Source organism: Homo sapiens, chromosome 16, assembly GCF_000001405.40.
Source record: "Homo sapiens chromosome 16, GRCh38.p14 Primary Assembly".
Classification (NCBI taxonomy): Eukaryota; Metazoa; Chordata; class Mammalia; order Primates; family Hominidae; genus Homo; species Homo sapiens.
This window is the reverse complement of record NC_000016.10, coordinates 68,628,640-68,648,515: the sequence shown is the minus strand read 5'-3', so window position 1 is coordinate 68,648,515 and position 19,876 is coordinate 68,628,640. Positions and strand designations below refer to the sequence as shown.

General features: G+C 50.0%; 1 protein-coding gene, 1 long non-coding RNA gene, 1 other non-coding gene and 1 pseudogene across 7 annotated transcripts in view, besides 1 other annotated feature; 3 read left to right on the top strand and 1 right to left on the bottom strand.

The window, feature by feature from the left end:
* CDH3 (cadherin 3) overlaps window positions 1-3,206 on the bottom strand; it is an 88,462-nt gene extending 85,256 nt beyond the window's left edge. For 4 of the 5 annotated variants that reach the window (XM_047433450.1, XM_011522800.4, NM_001793.6 and 1 more), the window contains exons 1-2: window positions 3,092-3,206; window positions 2,766-2,880 (exon numbers count right to left, since the gene is read on the bottom strand). In XM_047433450.1, coding sequence (XP_047289406.1) covers window positions 2,766-2,880; window positions 3,092-3,136 — 160 coding nt within the window. In that variant the 5' untranslated portion in view covers window positions 3,137-3,206. The remainder of the gene's footprint in view (window positions 1-2,765; window positions 2,881-3,091) is intronic. The other variant, NM_001317196.2, reaches the window with a different exon arrangement.
* Window positions 2,315-4,268, top strand: CDH3-AS1 (CDH3 antisense RNA 1). Its single transcript, NR_186394.1, has 2 exons — window positions 2,315-2,536; window positions 2,776-4,268. It is a non-coding gene; the product is annotated as a CDH3 antisense RNA 1 (long non-coding RNA).
* Window positions 2,702-3,226: an enhancer, noted in NCBI's record as "H3K27ac hESC enhancer chr16:68679193-68679717 (GRCh37/hg19 assembly coordinates)". NCBI's record gives its function as "activates a minimal SCP1, AML or CMV promoter by ChIP-STARR-seq in primed H9 embryonic stem cells {active_cell/tissue: H9 hESC(primed)}" and the evidence as "EXISTENCE:reporter gene assay evidence [ECO:0000049][PMID:30033119]".
* On the top strand, window positions 17,548-17,652 carry LOC124903809 (uncharacterized; annotated as a pseudogene).
* A 509-nt stretch (window positions 17,653-18,161) lies between these two features.
* LOC124903808 (small nucleolar RNA U109) lies at window positions 18,162-18,293 on the top strand. The gene has a single exon (XR_007065252.1). It is a non-coding gene; the product is annotated as a small nucleolar RNA U109 (small nucleolar RNA).
* The last annotated feature ends 1,583 nt before the right edge of the window (window positions 18,294-19,876 follow it).

Below are 19,876 nucleotides of genomic sequence, written 5' to 3'. Positions count from 1 at the left end.
TGCATCACTGCATTCTAGCCTGGGCTGGGTGACAGAGCGATACCCTATCTCAAAAAAAAAAAAAAGCCAGGGAACTTGGGGGTCCAAAATTTCCATTCAAATCCCAGCTGATCACTGCAGTGATGACTTGGTGAAGCCACAGTCATGTAGGTTTCATCTATAAAATGGGCCGCCCTTCACAAGGTTGTCAAATTCATTCATAATTCATACAGGACTGGGCATCCTGTAAGGTACCAGGCCCTGGGCATATACCAGGAGGTAAAAGTTGTGTCTGTCACCCTCAAAGAAGTTCATGAGCTGTTTGGCTTAGTGAATCCAATCCGTTAAGCTGTGCCTCTGTTTCTCCACCTTCAAAACCTCAGGCAAGGCTAGACTATGGGGTTTCTGAAGTTCAAAATTCTGAGATTAAGAGCTCAGCTTGTTTAACATTTACCTCACCTGCTTCAAGGGAATGTTAGGAGGATAAAGCAAGCTCAGAGTTGCAAAAGGGCTTTGAAGGGGAAGATGCACATACAAACAAGGCATTAATTACATCAGATAAGTTCTTTGAGCTGAACTTCATAGACACCCTTGATATTCATAACCCAGGGGCGAACAACAGGGGTGATTGTTCCTTAGCAATATGGAAACTTGTCTGCTTGGCTAAACTTGAGAGTCTATACGTTCCTGCAGGATAACCCTTTCAACGTGGCTGGATCCAGGCTGGGGATCTATGTTTTGAGGATGAGGAACTAGGGTGCAGGTGGGGTGGTCAAAGTGCCAGCTGAAGACCAAAGGGAGAAATAGCAATATGTTTTGTTGGGAAGTCCCAATTTATTGGGACCAACTGGACCAAGAAATGCACTTTTACTTAAAAAAGCAAGCAGCAGCCCATGCCACCAGAAGCCTACTCTAAGACCCAGCCGTGTGGCAGGGAGTTTCAAGGTGCGCCGAGCGCATTAACCCGTCCTTTGTTGTATAACCCAGGTGTGCTCCTGGCGCAAACCCACCGTTTTTCACAACCGTAAAGCAGACATCCGAGAAAGCTGAATTTCCTCTAAAGGTTTAAAATGCCTGACGTCATTGGGAAACACTCGCCAACCCAACGATGAAATCGAAAACCTGATCACTGCTTCCCCCCAAAACCTCAAGCCTAGTGAAGTGACAGCTAATCTGATATTTCTTGCTTCAGTAGGAAAGATAAGGTACAGACAACACTCAAGGCTATAGCCTATTCTGGGAGACTGTAGTCAGAGAACTTGACAATGGGGCGGGGGGAGGGGGCGTAGATTTGGCAGAAGTCTGGTTAGCAATAAGGCTTCCTCAGGGAGCCGGAATTGGATTTGGGGCCCTGCCCGAATTCACATTTTTACAGGTTGGCTGAGTTGCAGTTTGTTAGCCAGCCAGTAATAAACCCCTGCGCAAGAATTTAAAGTTTATGAGGCATGGCTTCTTAATGCCTCTCCTCAGCTCCCTACAGCCAAGGGTTTAAGGAGCCTAGCCTAGCCTGGGTGTTAATTGTTTTGTCAATCTGCAGTTATTTGCAGAAAGAATTTTTTTAAAAAGGGCCTCCACAGACTCAAGGTCCTCAATCCTCTTTTGGAGAAATAAAAGAGAGCCACTCTGTCCCCTAGGCATTGACAGCCCCACATTCAAGCAGTGGGAGTTTGTGCCTGGGGTGAGGGATAAGTTGATGGAGACTTTAGAAGAATGCTAGGTAGCAAGGGTTCTCAGTGTTTTGAAGGCCAGGTAAGCCACGGTTCCTTCCCCCTAAAAATGAATACTCAAGTTCCCAAAAATTTCAGTGTAAGGATCCTCTGAAACCCGACCCAAGGATCCAGGGTTATACCCGTTTAAGAACTAGGTTTCAACCCTTGCTGGAGCCCCCATCCATTGTCCTCTTAACCTAGAGGGAGAAAGCCCTCCACTAGCCAGCAACCAACCGCCTGGGTCTCATAACACACTGGTTCTCCTCACTAACGTTGCACCGCCCACCCCCTCAGGTTTTTGAACTTGGGGCGGGGAGGGGGGGGGTAGGAGTAACTGAGGGATCAAAAATGTGCTTTGATCTCCCGTCCATCGCCCCCATAGCCCCAGGCCTGCCAGCTTGGGACACTGTCCCCCTCAAACTCCCCCCAGTGACCTAGCATCCCAGGCCCCAGACGCTGGGGGCGGGGTGGTTCCCGTACGTGATGGCCCCAGCCCAGGTGTGCCAGGGCCCAGTTTCCAGGCAGGCTACAAGGGCGCAGGCCCTCCGGGAAGAGCAGGGTTAAGAGTGCATTCCAGCTGCCGAGGAAGAAGGGGGGCGGGGTAGGGAAGCTCGGAGAAAAGAAACAGACCCGGTCTGTCTGTCGGAGACACAAAGCACGGTTCACAAAGGGGGCCCGAGAGGGGCGAAGGGGGCTGCCCGGGGCACGGCTCATCCCCACACCTGCGCGCGGGTTGGGGGAAGAATGTGGCCGGCGCATTCCTCTGCTGGGGCCAGCGGGGGAGAACTTCCCACGTCGAGACTGGGTGAGGGGCTCAGCCATCCGGCATCTCGGAGGAGGGGGTCAAGGTAAGCAGTGGCTACCGGACAAGGGGCTGGATGTCATAGGCGCTCTGCTGCCCAGCCTTCTCCGTCAGCCACCACCCCCAATCCCAGCCCCCGAGGCGCGTTCTGCGCCTCCCCGGGAACTGAGGTGGCGCCAGGAGTCCCTTGCCCCGGCCCGAACACCCCTCGCGCGGTCCACACCAAAATGGTCACGTGCGGCCCCTACCCTGCGGTTCCACCCTGAGGATCTTACCTTTCCCCAGCGCCTGGCCGGGCTCCTGCTCCGCGCCTCCCGCCTCCAAGGTCACTTCAGCCTCCCTGAAGACCGCCCGGCACGGCTCGGAGGCCGCGCACTGCAGCCAGCAAACCTGCGCCCGAGGGCAGAGAGTGAAGGAGGCTGGGTCCAGGCGTGCCCGGCCCTGCACTCCCCACACCGCAGGGTCCTCACGGGCCTTCCGGGACTCCCTTGGCCCCAGGGAGCGCAGCCCCGCGCTCTCCCCGACGCCACTGCCCCATGCGGACCCCGCCCGCCCCCCAGGGAGCGGTCCCGGTCGGGGCCACGGCGAGGCTGTGGAGTACCTGGAGAAGGAGGAGAGACGCGAGAGGTCCACGAGGGAGCCCCATGGCTGCAGAGAGAGGGGTGAAGCAGCTGCCGCGACGGCGGGCCGGTGTTCCGCTCAGCTCTTGCCCCTTTGAGCACCGCAGCCCCCGGGAGCCAGCGGGAGGAGGCCAGGTGAGCGCAGGTGGGTGCTGATTGGTCCAGCGCCACGAGGTCCCGCCCCCTCGCAGGTGGGACCGATGTGGGTGCGGTTGAGGCCCCAGCGAACCCCTCCTGGCCTCCCGGATGCCCTCCTGCGCTCTCCTGGCTTTTCTGGAGCTGTTCTTTACAGGGACTCAGCCTCTGTCTCGCAGTTCTGGGTTAGAGGAGAAAAGAACACCCAGTGCACTCCTCAGCCTCCTCAGTACGGGAAGAGAAATGTTTCCTTGCCTTGCGGCTACAGCGGAAAAAAGTGGAGACACATCTGAAGTCGACTGAAAACGGAGGCTCCGCATTCATTATCCCCCGGAGGCGCTGTTATCCCAAAGCTTTGAAGCAGGCCCGTGCGTCCTCCCACACGCGGCTACAGCGGGGCCGCCCAAGCCTCTTTCTCCACCTCCCGTGCCAGCCCGCCGGGGAGGATCCTCCGGGGTATAAAACTAGCAGGTCCCGAAGGACCGCGTTTCTGAATTGGATACAACTTCCTCTTTTTTCTTTTTTTTTTTTTTTTGGAGACAGGGTCTCGCTCTGTCGCCCAGGAGTGCAGTAGCGCGATCTCGGCTCACTACAGCCTCGACCTCCCGGGCTGAAGCGATTCTCCTCCCTCAGCTCCCGCTGAGACTACAGGCTTGCGCCACCACACCCGGCTAATTTTTAAAAATTTTTTGTAGCGATGTGGTGGGGCGGGGGGAGGGTGGAGGGTCACCCTATGTTGCCCAAGCTGGTCTTGAACTTCTGGACTCAAGCGATCCTCCGCCTCCCAGAGTGCTCAGGTTACAGGCATGAGCCGCCACACCCGGACCGCTTCTTCCATTTCACAGCTAAACAAAGGGAAGCTAGTCGAGAAAGTCCCAGAGTTTGGAAGCTGTAGTGGTGCCAAAGGGTGCGAGCTAAGAGGGTTGTTATTAGTCTCATAATCTCCAGCACCCCTACCCCCCATATAAATAACACTTTCTCAACTTTCTGTAAAATGTAAATAAAGACAATTTTTAAAACGCAGAGGTTTTGAAATTGGTCTGAAATACTGTATATAATCTGGGTAAAAACTGCTTGCTGCGCAAAGCAGCCTCCAGAGAGTCTCCCTTGGAAAACAGCTCTCCCACACCCTTCCTAGGAGATAAACGCCAGACCTGGGATTCGTTGTTCTTCTACGTTACTCTCATTCCACTACGTTAGACACGAAGTGCTTTCCTCTTGCTGCACACAAGTGGGCTCTGGCCATGAAAACGGTCCTGAGTCTCAATCACTACCCCACAAGCCCTTCCCCACGGAGCTGAGCTTTCCCGGTCAGTCTCTCTCACCTGTCCCCTCACTCCTCCTTCACCTTCTGCTGCTGCCTTGAGAAGCCCTGGATGCCACCTCCTGGTCCTTCTCCCTCCCCGTCCCCAGCTCAGATTTAGGGGTTTGAGGAACGGACTGGAGACTGGAGAGGTTTTTTTGTTTTGTTTGTTTTTTTGAGATGGAGTCTCACTGTCGTCCAGTACGGTGGCGTCATCTCTGCTCACTGCAACCTCCGCCTCCCAGGTTCAAGCGACTCTCCTGCCTCAGCCTCCCGAGTAGCTGGGACTACAGGCGCCCACTACCACACCAGGCTAATTTTTGTATTTTTAGTAGAGACGGGATTTCGCTATATTGGCCAGGCTGGTCTCGAACTCCCGACCTCAAGTGATCCGCTTCCCTTGGCCTCCTAAAGTGCTGGGATTACAGGCGTGAGAAACGGGGCCCAGCCTGGAGTTTTAAATGACAGATTCTTTGACCTTCCAGGGCTAACCTGGTAATCTATCCGTCCTCCTCCCCGCCAGGCCTGTGGCTAAGCCATGGATTGCTTGCGTTGCGAGGGTGGGGGTCTTGCTCTCTCAGGCCTAGCATGGGCCCTTAAGGCCGGCCCCACCTGGGTTCAAATCCAGGTCCCACCCCTTAGTAGCGCTGAAGCCTCGGGGAAGTAAAATAAACCCCCTGGGCCTCAGTTCTGCATCTGTCAAATGGGGCTGTTATGATCTTAGTATTTTACCCTCTCATAGATGAGTATTAAATAAATTAGAAGGTTTAAAACGCTAAACATCATATCTGGCACACAGCAAGTGCCCAAATGCTGCCTGGTATTATTGCTCTCAGATGTCTGGCGAGCCGTCTCTCTTTCTAGCATCCCCACATCCCCTGAATTAAGAGAATGAGAAGCGTTGTAATCCTCCAATTTCATGGCTGAGGGTACAACGAGCAACTGGCATCTGGTATCTCGGGAGCATTCCCTTAGCCGGCGGGTGAGCCCAGCAGCTGGGGCTGGGACTGAGGCTGGGGGTGGACCACGCGGTTGGGAAAGCCTGGGGCTGCTCGCTGAGCTCCGCGCCCTCCCGGCCTGGATCTCCCGCAGGGCGCTTTTTATGCCCGAGGGGAGGTCAGGTCTACGCGCACCCGCGCGGCGCAATGGAGTGGGCCCCCGGCGGGACAGGGTGGCCAGGCCTACGCTCGCCTCGCAGGTTCCCCCGCGCCCGCCCGGAGCCAGACGAAGCCATTAGGCGGACGGTTAAACACAAACGAGCCTCGGGATGCAGGCCCTAATTAAGTAAACACCCGGCTGGTGGGCTGTTGAGCGCGCTCATTTCCGCCTCCTTCTCGGGCACTCAGCATTCCGGACGGGGGCGGAGAGAGGAGCGGAGATTGGAGAGTCAGCTCTTCTGCCTGCGACGCGGACCGCACCGCTGCCTTCCCCTTAGCTCCCCTTGTCGGTCATTCACTCATTCATTCATTTCAAAAACATTTGCTGACAGCCGGCGATGTGCCAACCACTTAAGATACAACAGTGAACAAACATCCCTGCGCCTTCGGACTTGCCATCCAGAGTGTGGAGGGTAGAGGAAAGTGAAAAAATACGTGGAAATATAATATGTTAGATGGTAACATGTACCGTGTACAAGAACAAGGACAGGGGGGCCCGGCGCAGTGGGCAGTGGTTCACGCCTGTAATCCCATTTAGAAGGCTGAGGTGGGTGGATGAGCCCAGGAGTTTGACACCAGCCTGGGCAACACAGCGAGACCCCTGTCTCTACAAAAAATACAAAAAAAAAAATTAGCCAGGCTTGCTGGCACGGGCCTGTAGTCCCAGCTACTCAGAAGGCTAAGGCGGGAGGATAGCTTGAGCCCAGGAGGTTGAGGCTGCAGTGAACTATGATCACACCACTGCACTCCAGCCTGCTTTATTTTTTGAGGAAACACCATACTGTTTTCCATAGCAACTGCACTTTTTTTTTTTTTTTTGAGACATCTCGCTGCCATGCCCAGGCTGGAGTGCAATGGCGAGATCTCGGCTCACTGCAACCTCCGCCTCACGGGTTCAAGCGATTCTCTTGCCTCAGCCTCCCGAGTAGCTGGGACTACAGGTGCCTGCCACCATCCCCAGCTAATTTTTGTATTTTTAGTTGAGGCAGGGTTTCACCATGTTGGCCGGGCTGATCTCAAACTCCTGACCTCAGGCAATCTGCCCGCCTCGATCTCCCAAAGTGCTGGGATTACAGGCGTTAGAGACTGCGCCCAGCCGGGAGGTTCAAGTCTTAAGGAAGGGACGAGAGAAATGGGCAGGGTTCAGGGAGCCCAGACAACAGGGGTGTTGAGGCACCAGAGAGACAAACAAAAGCTGGAAGGCATGACTACTTTGAGAACTGAAGGTCAGAGAGGAAATCATGTTATTGGAAGTCCGTGGATAAGGGGACAGGGAAGTGTGGGATCCATTCCCAAATGCAGCTGTGATCGAGGAAGGCACAGCCACTGCCCAGAGCAGAGCAGAGAAAGTGCAGGGAAAAAAAATACCCCAGCATCTCTCCCCTCTTGCCTTTCATCTCCTGGTGGCACCTCCCATTCACCAAACCCACTCAGAAGCCTGAGGCAAGAAAGCCCAGGTTGCTTTCTAGAGGGGTCATTCTCCCCAGGCTCAGGACAGGGCACAGAAGGGCAGAAAATGATGGGAACTCGGAGAGCAAACAAGAAAGCCCAGAGGCCTTACTCATAAAGTGGCATTAGAACAAAGACTTGAAGGAAGTGAAGGAACCACGCTTTGGAAAGAGCATTCCAGGCAGAGAAAACAGGGCAGAGGCCCCGAGACAGTAGATTACTTGGAACAGCAAGAAAGCCAGTGTGGCTGGAGTAGAGAGAGCAAGTAGGAAGTGAGTCAGAGTATGGGAGGGCCAGGATCACACCTTGTAGAGCATGTAGGCCATTGTAAGAACTTTGGCCCCTACTTGGGGAACCAGGGGAGGCAGCCACTGTTGGTTTTGAGCAGAGGAGTGATGTTGAGAAAATTATAAGGGACAAGGGAAGCAGGGAGGCTGGTGGGGGCTCCATTGCAGTTATCCAGGCAAAAGATGAAACGGCTTGGTTCAGATTGGTCATTATGGAGTGGGTCTGAAACAGTCAGACTTTTTTTTTTTTTTTTTTTGAGACAGGGTCTTGCTGTCACCCCAGCAGGGGTGCAGTGCAGTGGCATGATCACAGCTCACTGCAGCCTCAACCTGTCAGGCTCAAGTGCGATCCTCCCACCTCACCCTCCCAAGTAGTTGGAAATAAAGGTGTGTGCCATCACGCCTGGCTAATTTTTTTTTTTTTTTTTGAGATGGAGTCTCGCTGTGTCGCCCAGGTTAGGGTGCAGTGGTGCGATCTGGGATCACTGCAACCTCCGCCTCCTAGGTTCAAGCGATTCTCCCGCCTCAGCCTCCTGAGTAGCTGGGGCCACAGGCGGGTGCCACCACGCCCAGCTAATTTTTGTATTTTTAATGGAGATGGGGTTTTGCCTTGTTGGCCAGGCTGGTCTTGAACTCCTGACCTCAGGTGATCTGCCCACCTCGACCTCCCAAAGTGCTGGGATTACAGGCATAAGCCACTGCACCCGGCCTAATTTTTTAATTTTCTAATTTTTTTTTTTTTTTTTTTTTGTAGAGACAGCATCTCCCTATGGCCCAGGCTGGTCTCTAACTCCTGGGCTCAAGCGATCTTCCTGCCTCAGTCTCCCAAAGTGTTGGGATTACAGACATGAACCACCATGCCTGGCAGAAGATTTTTTAAAACCCAGAAAGTAACAAGCATTGGTGAGGATGTGGAGAAATTAGGATCCTTGTGTGCTGTTGGTGGGAATGTAAAATGGTGCAGTCGCTATGGAAAACAGTATGGTAGTTCCTTAAGAAAAAAAAAATAGAATTACCATATGATCCAGCAATTCCATGTCTGGGTATATACTCAAAAAAAGTGAAAGCAGGGGCCAGGCACAGTGGCTCAACGTCTGTAATCCTAGCACTTTGGGAGGCCGAGGCAGGTGGATCGCTTGAGGTCAGGAGTTTGAGACCAGCCTGGGCAACATGGCAAAATGCCGTCTCTACTAAAAATACAAAAATTAGTTGGGCATAATGGTGCACGTCTGTTTTTCCAGCTACTTGGGAGGCTGAGGTGGAAGAATTGCTCGAACCCAGGAGGCAGAGGTTGCAGTGAGCCGAGATTGCGCCATTGCACTCCAGCCTGGGTGACAGAGTGAAACTTCATCTCAAAAAAAAAAAAAAAAAGCAGGACTTGAAGAGATGTTTGTACACCCATGTTCATAGCAGCATTATTCATAATAGTCAAAAGGTAGGACCAATCCAAGCACCCACTGATAGATGAATGGATAAACAAAATGTTTAACAGGTACACAGTTTCAGTTTTGCAGGATGAAAAGAGTTCAATGGATGGTGGCAATGGTTACACAATAGGAACGCAGTTAATACCACTGAAGAATACACTAAAAAATGGTTAAGATGGTAAATTTTATGTTATGTGTATTTTACCACTTTTTTTTTTTAATTTACTAAAAAAATTAAAAAACCCATGATCAGATTCTGGGTATATTTTGAAGTATTGTCAACAAAATTGGCCAAAAGATTGGATGTGGAGTATGAGAGGCAGAGCAGGTCAAGAATGACTCCAGGGTTTTTGGCCTGGCCCGAGCAATCAGCAGGATGACAATACCATTTCCTTTTTTGAGACAGAGTCTTATTCTGTTGCCCAGGCTGGAGTGCAGTGGCACAATCACAGATCACTGCAGCCTTGATCTCCCAGGCTCAAGAAATCCTCGTTTCAGCCTCCCAGATAGCTGGGACTATAGGTGCATACCACTATGCCCAGCTAGTTTTTTATTTTTATTTTTAGTAGAGATGAGGTCTTGCTATGTTGCCCAGGCTAGTCTTGAATTCCAGCCAGGAGGATCGCTCAAGTGATCCTCCCTCCTCCACCTCCCAAAGTGCTGGGATTACAGGTATGAGCCACCACACCCAGCCAGACAACGCCATTTCTGAAATAGGGAAGGGAAGTGTAGTGGACACTGTCAGGACCCTGCTTGGACTCCCTGGGATCACTTTTCCAGTTTTTGAACTCCCCTCCCTTGGCGCTGTGTGCTGTTTAAAGAGCCTGGTGCCTCCCCCACCTCTCTGTTACTCCCTCTCTCTCCCTGTGACACGTCCCCACTTTGCCTTCCACCATGATTGGAAGCTTCTGGAGGCCCTCAGCAGAAGCGAATGCCAGCACCATGCTTTCTGTACAGCTTGCAGAACCATGAGCCAAAATAAACCTCTTTTCTTTATAAATTACCCAGTCTCTGGTATTCCTTTACAGCAATGCAAATGGACCAACACAGGGTCAGAGGTCAGGGCTATCGGACTCTTACCTCTCCAGACTTCCCCACAGCACCCAAACTAAGACATGCCCATGGCCTGAAGTTAGGGTCCACAGACCTGAGTTGTGAATCGTGCCTCTGAAAATGACTGCCTGAGTGACCTGGTGTGAGTTCCCTGACCCCTCTAGGCCCTTCGGAGCTTTCCACTTGATGGGTGATGGTGAGATTATCCCAAACTGAACTCCTGGCCTTCCCCGACACACCTGCGCCTCCTGCACTCTTTCCTTCCAGAGGCTCAGGCCAAGCCATCTTCCACTTCGGCTCCCACTAGATCCCTGAGCTTTCCCAACATCAGGGGTGGGCCCGCCACAGGCCTTTGCACTTGCCGTTCCCTCTGCTTGGATCACTCTTCCCAGACATCCACCTGCCCCTCTCCCTCACCTCCTTCAGGTCTCTGCTCAGATGTGGCTCATCAGAGAGGCCTCCCCAAGCCCCCTGCAGAGAGAGCACTCTCCCATCACTCTCTTTTCCCTTTACTCTGCTTTTTTTTTTTTTAAGCTTTGTAAAAGTTATCTTTGTAGAGCCGGGGTCTCACTGTTGCCCAGGCTGGTCTCCAACTCCTGGGATCAAGTGATCCTCTTGCCTCGGCCTCCCTAAGCAGTGGGATTACAGGTGTGAGCCCCACATCCAGCCTATATGTTTTCATAGCACTTATCATACTTTAATTTATTAGTATATATATGATTTTTTTTTTGAGAGATGACCTATAGTAGAGATTAACAGCATGGACTGGGCACAGTGGCTCATGCCTGTAATCCCAGCACTTTGGGAAGGCTGAGGCGGGCAGATCGCTTGAGCTCAGGAGTTTGAGACCAGCCTGGGAAACATAGTGAAACCCTGTCTCTACTAAAAATACAAAAAATTAGCCAGGCATGGTAGTGTATGCCTGTAGTCCCATTTACTCGGGTGGCTGAGGTGGGAGAACCACTTGAACCCGGAGATTGCAGTGAGCCGAGATTGCACCACTGCACTCCAGCCTGGGCGACAGAGGGAGACTCTGCCTCAAAAAAAGAAAAAAAAAAAAAAAGATTAAGAGCATGGACTCTGGAGTCACACTGCCTGGCTTTGAATCCTGAATCCAGCTCTCCTTAGCTGTGAGACCTTGTGACTTTCAATCCCCTTGGAACTCAGTGTTCTAATCTGTAAAATGGGATAAGCATAATAACAACTTCCTCATAGGTCGTGAGTTAATATTTGTAAAGCACTTTAGGAGACAGTTTACATAAGAGTTTGTTAAATTGTACTCATTGTCTGTCTCCCTGCATTGAGTGTATCCTCTGCAAGAAGCAGGGGCTTTTGTCTCCTTTGTTTATTGCTGTATCTCCAGTGCATAGAATAGCCTGGCATAAAATAGATACTCAAATATGTATTGAATAACTGAAACCAACAAGTTGATCACTGTTAAGCATGTGGCAGGGTGCTAGATCCACAGTAGAGTCAAGATCAATGTTGGTTCCCTGACCCACCTCACAGAGCTGAGAGGAGATCCAATCAGCTAATATAAGGGAAAGTGTTTTGCAAAGTGTCATACAAGCCATGCGAGTCATAATAAAATGAACTATTACCATTTCCTGATTACTCACTGGATACCAGACTCTGTGCTAAATACTCTCATACATAAGCTCATTTTAATCCTCATAAATTTACAAGGTAATTCTTATTATTCCTATTTTACAGATAAAGTAACTGAACTTAAGTCCCTTGCCCAAGGCCACATAGCCAGGGCAGAGGCAAAGCAACAGGCTAATCTAGTTCTCGCTCCCAAACTCATTGCCTGACTTAGTAGCCAAGCTGCTACCCATAAATATTTGCTGGAAGAATGATTTGGGGGAACAGGTCTTTTGTGTATTTGGAAGAATTCCACAATATTCAATCCTTTCTCTAAGAACGTTTCAAAATAAACACATTTGCCTTTGGTCAAGGTTAAATTCTGGGTCTTCCAAGAAACATTCAGAAAGAGCTTTTCTGCCCATTTTTGGTAGTAAACTTCCCAGAGCTTCACTCCCACGGAGCATACTTAAAGGGATGTGTCCCAAAGACAAGACGGTGTTTTCCAGTCTTCCAGGAAGTGGCCTTAAAACCGGGTGAGGCTCTAATTCCTGGCACCTCACACCCCAGGGCTCTGCGAGAGGGATTCCACAATCTTACCTTTTTGCATCTGTTCCTGACCTCCTCAGGACCCGTCTATTTGCCTTGTGACATCACCGGCCAGCTCTTCCTATTTATCACTTCTGAATCCTTAAAGATGCTGAGGCAGGCTGCCCAGGTCGAGAAACCTGGGCTGCATACCTTCCCTTTCCCTGAATCTTGGGTGGGGCTGTGCTGCCTTCAGCACTGGGGAATTTTTGCCAAGGCCTGAGCTGTCAGTTTCCAGAGAACAGAAGCCAAGCATTTGTGTACGTGTGTACACTGAGGGCAAGGAGTCGATTAGTCAATAAGCACTCATGACGCCCCGGGTCCCGCTGCAGTGGTTGGTTAAGGTCTAGAAACTCTGAGAACTTTAGGACCAAAAAGGACCTTAAAGAAAATAATAATGATAATAATAATAATAACAACAAAATATACGAATCTGCTCTCAGAGCCATTCTTCATCCTTCCCCTAAAAGGCAGGGGTGACCCCTGCAGACTGCTTCCCAGGCTCCCTTGAAAGATGACATCCTTCTGGATTCAGCTGATGGAGGCACTACTGGGAGGGCAGGAGGCAGGACAAACAAAAGAGCCAGAGAGCTTGCTCAACAGTGCCTAAGAAGTGGCTGTGTCTTGTCTGCAGATCCAGCTTGGCTGTGGGTCTCCCAGGTGACCCCAGACTCTAGGCTCCAGTGATACCACCTTTCCCTTTCTTCGTTTTTTTTTTTGAGACGGAGTCTCACTCTGTTGCCCAGGCTGGATGGAGTGCAGTAGCGCGATCTCGGCTCACCGCAAGCTCCGCCTCCCGGGTTCACACCATTCTCCTGCCTCAGCCTCCTGAGTAGCTGGGACTACAGGCGCCCACCACCACGCCCGGCTAATTTTTTGTATTTTTAGTAGAGACAAGGTTTCACCGTGTCAGCCAGGATGGTCTCGATCTCCTGACCTCGTGATCCACCCGCCTCGGCCTCCCAAAGTGCTGGGATTACAGGCGTGAGCCACCGCACCCGGCCTTTTTTTTTTCTTCTTCTTTTTTTTTTTTTTTAAGACACCGTCTCGCTCTGTCACCCAGGCTGGAGTGCAGTGGCGCAATCTCGGCTCACTGCAACCTCCGCCTCCGGGTTCAAGCGATTCTCCTGCATCAGCCTCCTGAGGAGCTGGGACTACAGGCGCGTGCCACCACACCCAACTAATTTTTGTAATTTTAGTAGAGATGGGTTTTACCATATTGGCCAGGCTGGTCTCGAACTCCTGACCTCGTGATCCACCTGCCTCAGCCTCCCAAAGTGCTGGGATTACAGGCGTGAATCACTGCGCCTGGTCACCTTTCCCTTTCTTCCTTTTGCTAAGGGGTAGCAGACTTCATGCTCTCTAATCTCTGTGTTGCATCACCATCCCCGTTTGTCTTCTCATCCTCTCCATTACCTCTTTTTTTTTTTTTCTGAGATAGGGTCTCACTCTGTTGTCCAGGCTGGAGTGCAGTGCTGTCATCACAGCTCACTGCAGCCTCAACCTCTTGGCCTCAAGCAATCCTCCCACCTCAGTCTCCCAAGTAGCTAGGACTACAAGAGCACACCACCATGCCTGGCTAATTTTTATTTGTTGTAGAGATGGGGTCTCCCTAGGTTACCCAGGCTCCTCTGGTTTAAATACTCACAGTGGTTTTTGTCTTCCTGATTGGACCCTGACTGATAGAATAGTTAAAACTTACACAGTACTTACTACATGCCAGACACTGTTCTAAGTGCATGATGGAAGTTAGCTTATTTAATTCTACCATCAGGGGAATGATTACACATTACAGATGAGAAAGCTGAGGCACAGAGAGTTTGATCTAGCCCAGCAAGATCCCATATCTGGATCCATATCAAAAGTTGCCCAGGAAGGCCAGGTGCAGTGGCTCACACCTGTAATACCAGCTCTTCAGGAGGCCGAGGCTGGCGGACTACTTGAAGTCAGGAGTTCGAGACCAGCCTGGCCAACATGGAGAAACCCAAAAATTAGCCAGGTATGGTGGCATGGGCCTGTAGTCCTAGATACTCGGGAGGTTGAGGCAGGAGAATCGCCCAAACCCAGGAGACGGAGGTTGCCATGAGCCAAGACAGTGTCACTGCACTCCAGCCTGGGCGACAGAGCAAGACTGTCTCAGAAAAAAATAAAAATAAAAATAAAATAAAATAAAAATAGAGGAAGTGATGGATGCCATCCTATCCCCCCTGAATCAGACTCTTCCAATCTATTGGGCCCAGCAATCTGGAGATGTAATAAGCTCTCCAGGTGATTTTGATGCAGTTAACCCAGCACCTTTCCACGAACTGGTACTATCTGAGAAAGCGTAACTTCGTTTTGGTGATGAGCACACCAAGATTTAGATCAGTAATGTGACCTGCCCTGGGTGCACAGCAAACTCAGTGGCAGACAAAAAACAGGGACAAGGACAGCACTTTCTGCTTCCCCCACCACTTTCTCGTTCAAGGTCAAATGTCTGCTTCTGATGTTTGGACTTGCTTCTCCTTCAAGCCATCTGAACCCACTTTCTTATGAGAAATATTTTGGAAAATTTAGTATATCAACAGATGTATATGCAGGATTGCTGAGTGGCTGATCAGTGTTTGGGAAAAAGAGAAGGGAGGCAGTTTAATTCACTTAATCTCTTATTTTCCAGCTGTTCTGAATAACTTTAGAGAGCTTGTTAACTCTTCCACATACTACCTTCTCCTTATTAATTCATTAAGACTGTGGTCAGGCCAAGAATCAGGCCAAGAATCAATCTATCTATCTATCTATCTATCTATCTATCTATCTATCTATCTATTTTTTTTTTTTTTGAGACGGAGTCTCGCTCTGTCGCTCAGGCTGGAGTGCAGTGGCGGGATCTCTGCTCATTGCAAGCTCCACCTCCCGGGTACACGCCATTCTCCTGCCTCAGCCTCCTGAGTAGCTGGGATTACAGGCACCTGCCACCACACCTGGTTAATTTTTTGTATTTTTAGTAGAGACGGGGTTTCACCGTGTTAGCCAGGATGGTCTCGATCTCTTGACCTCGTGATCTGCCCGCCTTGGCCTCCCAAAGTGCTGGGATTACAGGCGTGAGCCACCATGCCCGGCCAAGAATCTACATTTTTGAACTGAGGCCCAAAGTCATGTGACAATTTGAGAAACTAGAATCAAAATCCAAAACGCCCAGAATCTGAACGCACTTCCGCAAAATGTCAGCTCCATAAGAATTGGATTTTTGTGTTGTGGTGCACACTTGTGATCCCAGCTACTCAGGAAGCTGAGGTGGGAGGATTGCTTGAATCTGGGAAGTGAAGGCTGCAATGAGCCTTGATCATGCCACTGCACTCTAGCCTGGATGATGGAGTAAGACCCTGTCTCAAAAAAAAAAAAAAAAAAAAAAAAAGGCTGGGGGCAGTGGCTCACTCCTGTAATCCCAGCACTTTGGGAGGCCAAGGCAGGTGGATCACTTGAGGTCAGGAGTTGGAGACCAGCCTGGCCAACATGGTGAAACCCCATCTCCACTAAAAACACAAAAATTAGCTGGCCATGGTGGTGCACGCGTGTGATCCCAGCTACTCAGGAGGCTGAGGCAGGAGAATTGCTTGAACCAGGAAGGCGGAGTTTCCAGCGAGCCAAGATGTTGCCATTGTACTCCAGCCTGGGCGACAAAAGCGAAACTCCAACTCAAAAAAAAAAAAAAATAATAACGGCCGGGCGCGGTGGCTCATGTCAGTAATCCCAGCACTTTGGGAGGCTGAGGCGGGCAGATCACCTGAGGTCAAGAGCTCAAGGCCAGCCTGGCCAACATGGTGAAACCCCCTCTCTATTAAAAATACAAAAATTAACTGGGCGTGATGGTGTGTGCCTGTAATCCCAGCTACTCAGGAGGCTGAAGCAAGAGAATCTCTTGAACCCGGGAGGCAGAGGTTGCAGTGAGCCGCAAATGATTGTGCCATTGCACTCCAGCCTGGGCAATAGAGCGAGACTCCATTTCAAAAATAAAGAAAGAAATAAAAATAATATCTAGGCACAGTGGCTCACGCCTGTAATCTCAGCACTCTGGGAGGCTGAGGCGAGTGGATCACCTGAGGTCAGGAGTTCGAGACCAGCCTGGCCAACGTGGTAAAACCCCGTCTCTACTAAAAATACAAAAATTAGCTGGGCATGGAGGCAGGTGCCTGTAATCCCAGCTACTCGGGAGGCTGAGGCAGGAGAATCGCTTGAACTCGGAGGCAGAGGTTGCAGTGAGCCGAGATTGCACCATTGCATTCCAACCTGGGCGACAAGAGTGAAACTCTGTCTCAAAATAATAATAATGATAAGTAAAGAATAATTGCCTCTTGTGAAAAAAGTAGTACATAAATGCACAAAGTATGTAATAAGTAGTATTTTCCAAAAGAAAGCCTGTTAATGTCACCTTCTCTGAATAAAAACCCTTTAATGGTTTCCCATTCTCTGAAATAAAAGCTCTTAACAAAGTCTTCAGGGGCTGTCTGGTCTGGCCCCTGACTACTCTCCCACCCACATTGCCCTGTGCTCTAGCCGTAGGTCCTCTGTCCATCCCTTGAATGTGCCGTAATCTTTTCTGCTACAGGTCTTTTGCTCCTGCTCTTTCCTCTGCCTGGAGCACTCTTCTTTTTTTCTTCTTTTCCACTTAATTTACACTTATCCTTCAATCTTAGCTGAGTGCTGTTTCCTTAGGGAAGCCTTCCCTGACTTCTCTAACTAGGTCAGAAAACTTTTTTTTTTTTTTTTTTTTGAGACAGAATCTTGCTCTGTCACCCAGACTGGAAGGAAGTGGCACCATCTAGGCTCACTGCAACCTCTACTCCCACCAACCCTCCAGCCCCCCTGGGCTCAATCAGTCCTCCTACCTCAGCCTCCCAAGTAGCTGAAACCACAGGTGCACACCACCATGCCCTGTTAATTTTTGTACTTTTTGTAGAAATGGGGTTTTGCCATGTTGCCCAGGCTGGTCTCGAACTCCTGGGCTCAAGTGATCCTCCTGCCTTGGCCTCCCAAAGTGCTGGGATTCCAGATATTCGAACCATTGTGCCCAACCAGAGCCCAATATTTTATGTTCTTGTAGGACTGAATATACTAGCTCTTGTCATTGTTTAAATTGTCCATTTATGTGTAGACAACTTGGCTAATTATCCACATTTAATTTTAATCTTTGGTTAAATTATATCTCCTCGCTAGCCTGTGAACCATATGAGGACAGAGAGTGTTTAAGCTCACCGTTAGATCCCCAGGATTCAAAATAGCAAATAATAGGTGCTCAATAAATACTTATTGAATGAATGAATGGAGAAAAGACACCAAAACCACATTTCCAGGTGATGAAATTATGAGTAATTTTGTCTTCTCTCTCTCTGCGGCATATCTGTATCTTTTTTTCCTATTCGTTTTCTACTAAAAAAAGTGTGCTAACTGTGAGTTAAAAACTAGTCTTTTGTGGACTAGTGTGGAACTGTCTACTCCTCATTCCTGTGGAAGCAGGAATACATTCATAACATGCTCCATTAAAAAAGGAGTTCTAGGCCAGGCAGCGTGCCTCATGCCTGGAATCCCAGCACTTTGGGAGGCCGAGGCAGGAGGATGGCTTGAGGCCAGGAGTTCAACACCAGTTTGGGCAACATAATGAGCCCCCTGTCTCTATGAAAAAATAAAAATAAATTAATAAATAAAAATTAGCCAGTCATGGTGGCACACACTTATAGTCCCAGGTACTCAGGAGGCTGAGGATTGCTTGAGCCCGGCAGGTTGAGGCTGCAGTGGGCTGTGATTGTGCCACTGCACTGCAGCCTGGGCAACCCAGCAAGACCCTGTCTCAAAAAAAAAAAAAAAAAAAGGCCAGGTGTGGTGGCTCACGCCTGTAATCCCAGCACTTTGGGAGGGCAAGGCAGGTGGATCACCTGATGTCAGGAGTTTGAGACCAGCCTGACCAACATGGCGAAAGCCTGTCTCTACCAAAAATAAAAATTAGCCGGTTGTGGTGGTGGGCGCCTGTAATCCCAGCTACTCGGGAGGCTGAGGCAGGAGAATCGCTTGAACCCTGGAGCCAGAGGTTGCAGTGAGATGAGATCATGCCATTGCACTCCAGCCTGGACGACAGAGCGAGACTTCATCTCAAAAAAAAAAAAGGATCCTCAGGGCTGCCAACCTTATAGTAGAAGTTGAGGTGGTAGTGGATTTCTCCTACACAAAAGACCAAGTAAACAAAAAGGAAAAAAAGTTTAAAGAAACAAAACACCAGTCTTATCTGAGTTCTAGTTTTCCAGGGTGTGATCCAGAACCTATGGATCAAAACCAGAAAGAACAACCAGAATCCAGCAGCAATTCAGCGTGAGGCACTAACAGTTCTCCTGCTTCCCAATACCCACTACCCCACCTCTGCTCCCACCCAGGAATCTTCGTTTTGCAGGTCCCTGTAGCAGTCCTGGCTTTCACACCCTCATACACAATAGTTAAGGACACCAAAGCCCATTTGCCTGCCCTCTTTGATAAAACAGTGACAGGAAGACAAAACATCACCAGCAAAAGTCTTTAAAAATTTAAAGACCCTGATAAAGTCCTCCATTCCACACCTGCCAGGGAAGGAAATGGCCTCTGGCAAGTGCCTCTGTTGCTGCCCCCACTCCCACCTCCCAACACCTTTTCTACAAACATCCCCTTCTCAACTTGTCCTCAGCTGCCTGCTAGAGGGCACCAGATCCACTTGCCTGAGGAGCTGGAGGAAGGGGAAGCCCCCACGACCCCACTGTGTAGTCATGGGGATGAAACTAATGAGTTGATGTTCTTCAAGCATTTGGAGGATCAAAGCCTGAGATCTGAGGCCTTGGCGAGAACACAGCGCTTGCAGGCATGGGTGGGCACAAGCCAAGAGGCCCCCCGGATCACACAGGGCCAGGTGCTGTGCACACTCGGGTAGGGGCCGCTTGCCGACAGACAGGTGTGAGGGCTGGCCCAAGAAAGTCAGGTCCCTAAAGTGATACTACAGAAAAGGAAGAATTCTGAAACATTGTAATTAAATTAATACAGGAATTTGGGAAGGGGAGGGAAAGTAAAGGACAAGGAAGAAGAAAACAAGAAAACAACAATCACTCATTATCTCTCCAGATCAAATTAACCTATGCTAGGAGTTTAGTTTATTTGCTCCTAGTCTTTTTTTTTTTCTTTTTCTTTTTTCTTTTCTTTTTTTTTTTTTTTTGAGACAGAGTCTCGCTCTCTCGCCCAGGCTGGAGTGCAGTGGCATGATCTTGGCTCACTGCAACTTCTGCCTTACGGGTTCAAGCAATTCTCCAGCCTCAGCCTCCAGATTAGCTGGGATTACAGGCGTGTGCCACCATGCCCGGCTAATTTGTTGTATTTTTAATAGAGGTGGGTTTTCACTGTGTTAGCCAGGATGTTCTCAATCTCCTGACTTCGTGATCCGCCCGCCTCAGCCTCCCAAAGTGCTGGGATTACAGGCGTGAGCCACCGCGCCCGGCTGCTCCTATTAATTTTTATTTTTTGAAACAGAGTCTTGTTATGTCACCCAGACTGGAGCACAGTGGTGCAATCATGACTCACTGTAGCCTCGACCTGGGCTCAAGCCATCCTTCCATCCCAGCCTCTGGAGTAGCTGTGACTACAGGAGCACACCACCACACTCAGCTAATTTTTGTATTTTTTGTAGAAATGGGATTCCACCATGTCGCACAGGCTGGTCTTGAGCTCCTGGGCTCAAGCAATCTACCCACCTCAGCCTCCCAAAGTTCTGGGATTACTGGCATGAGCCACTGCACCC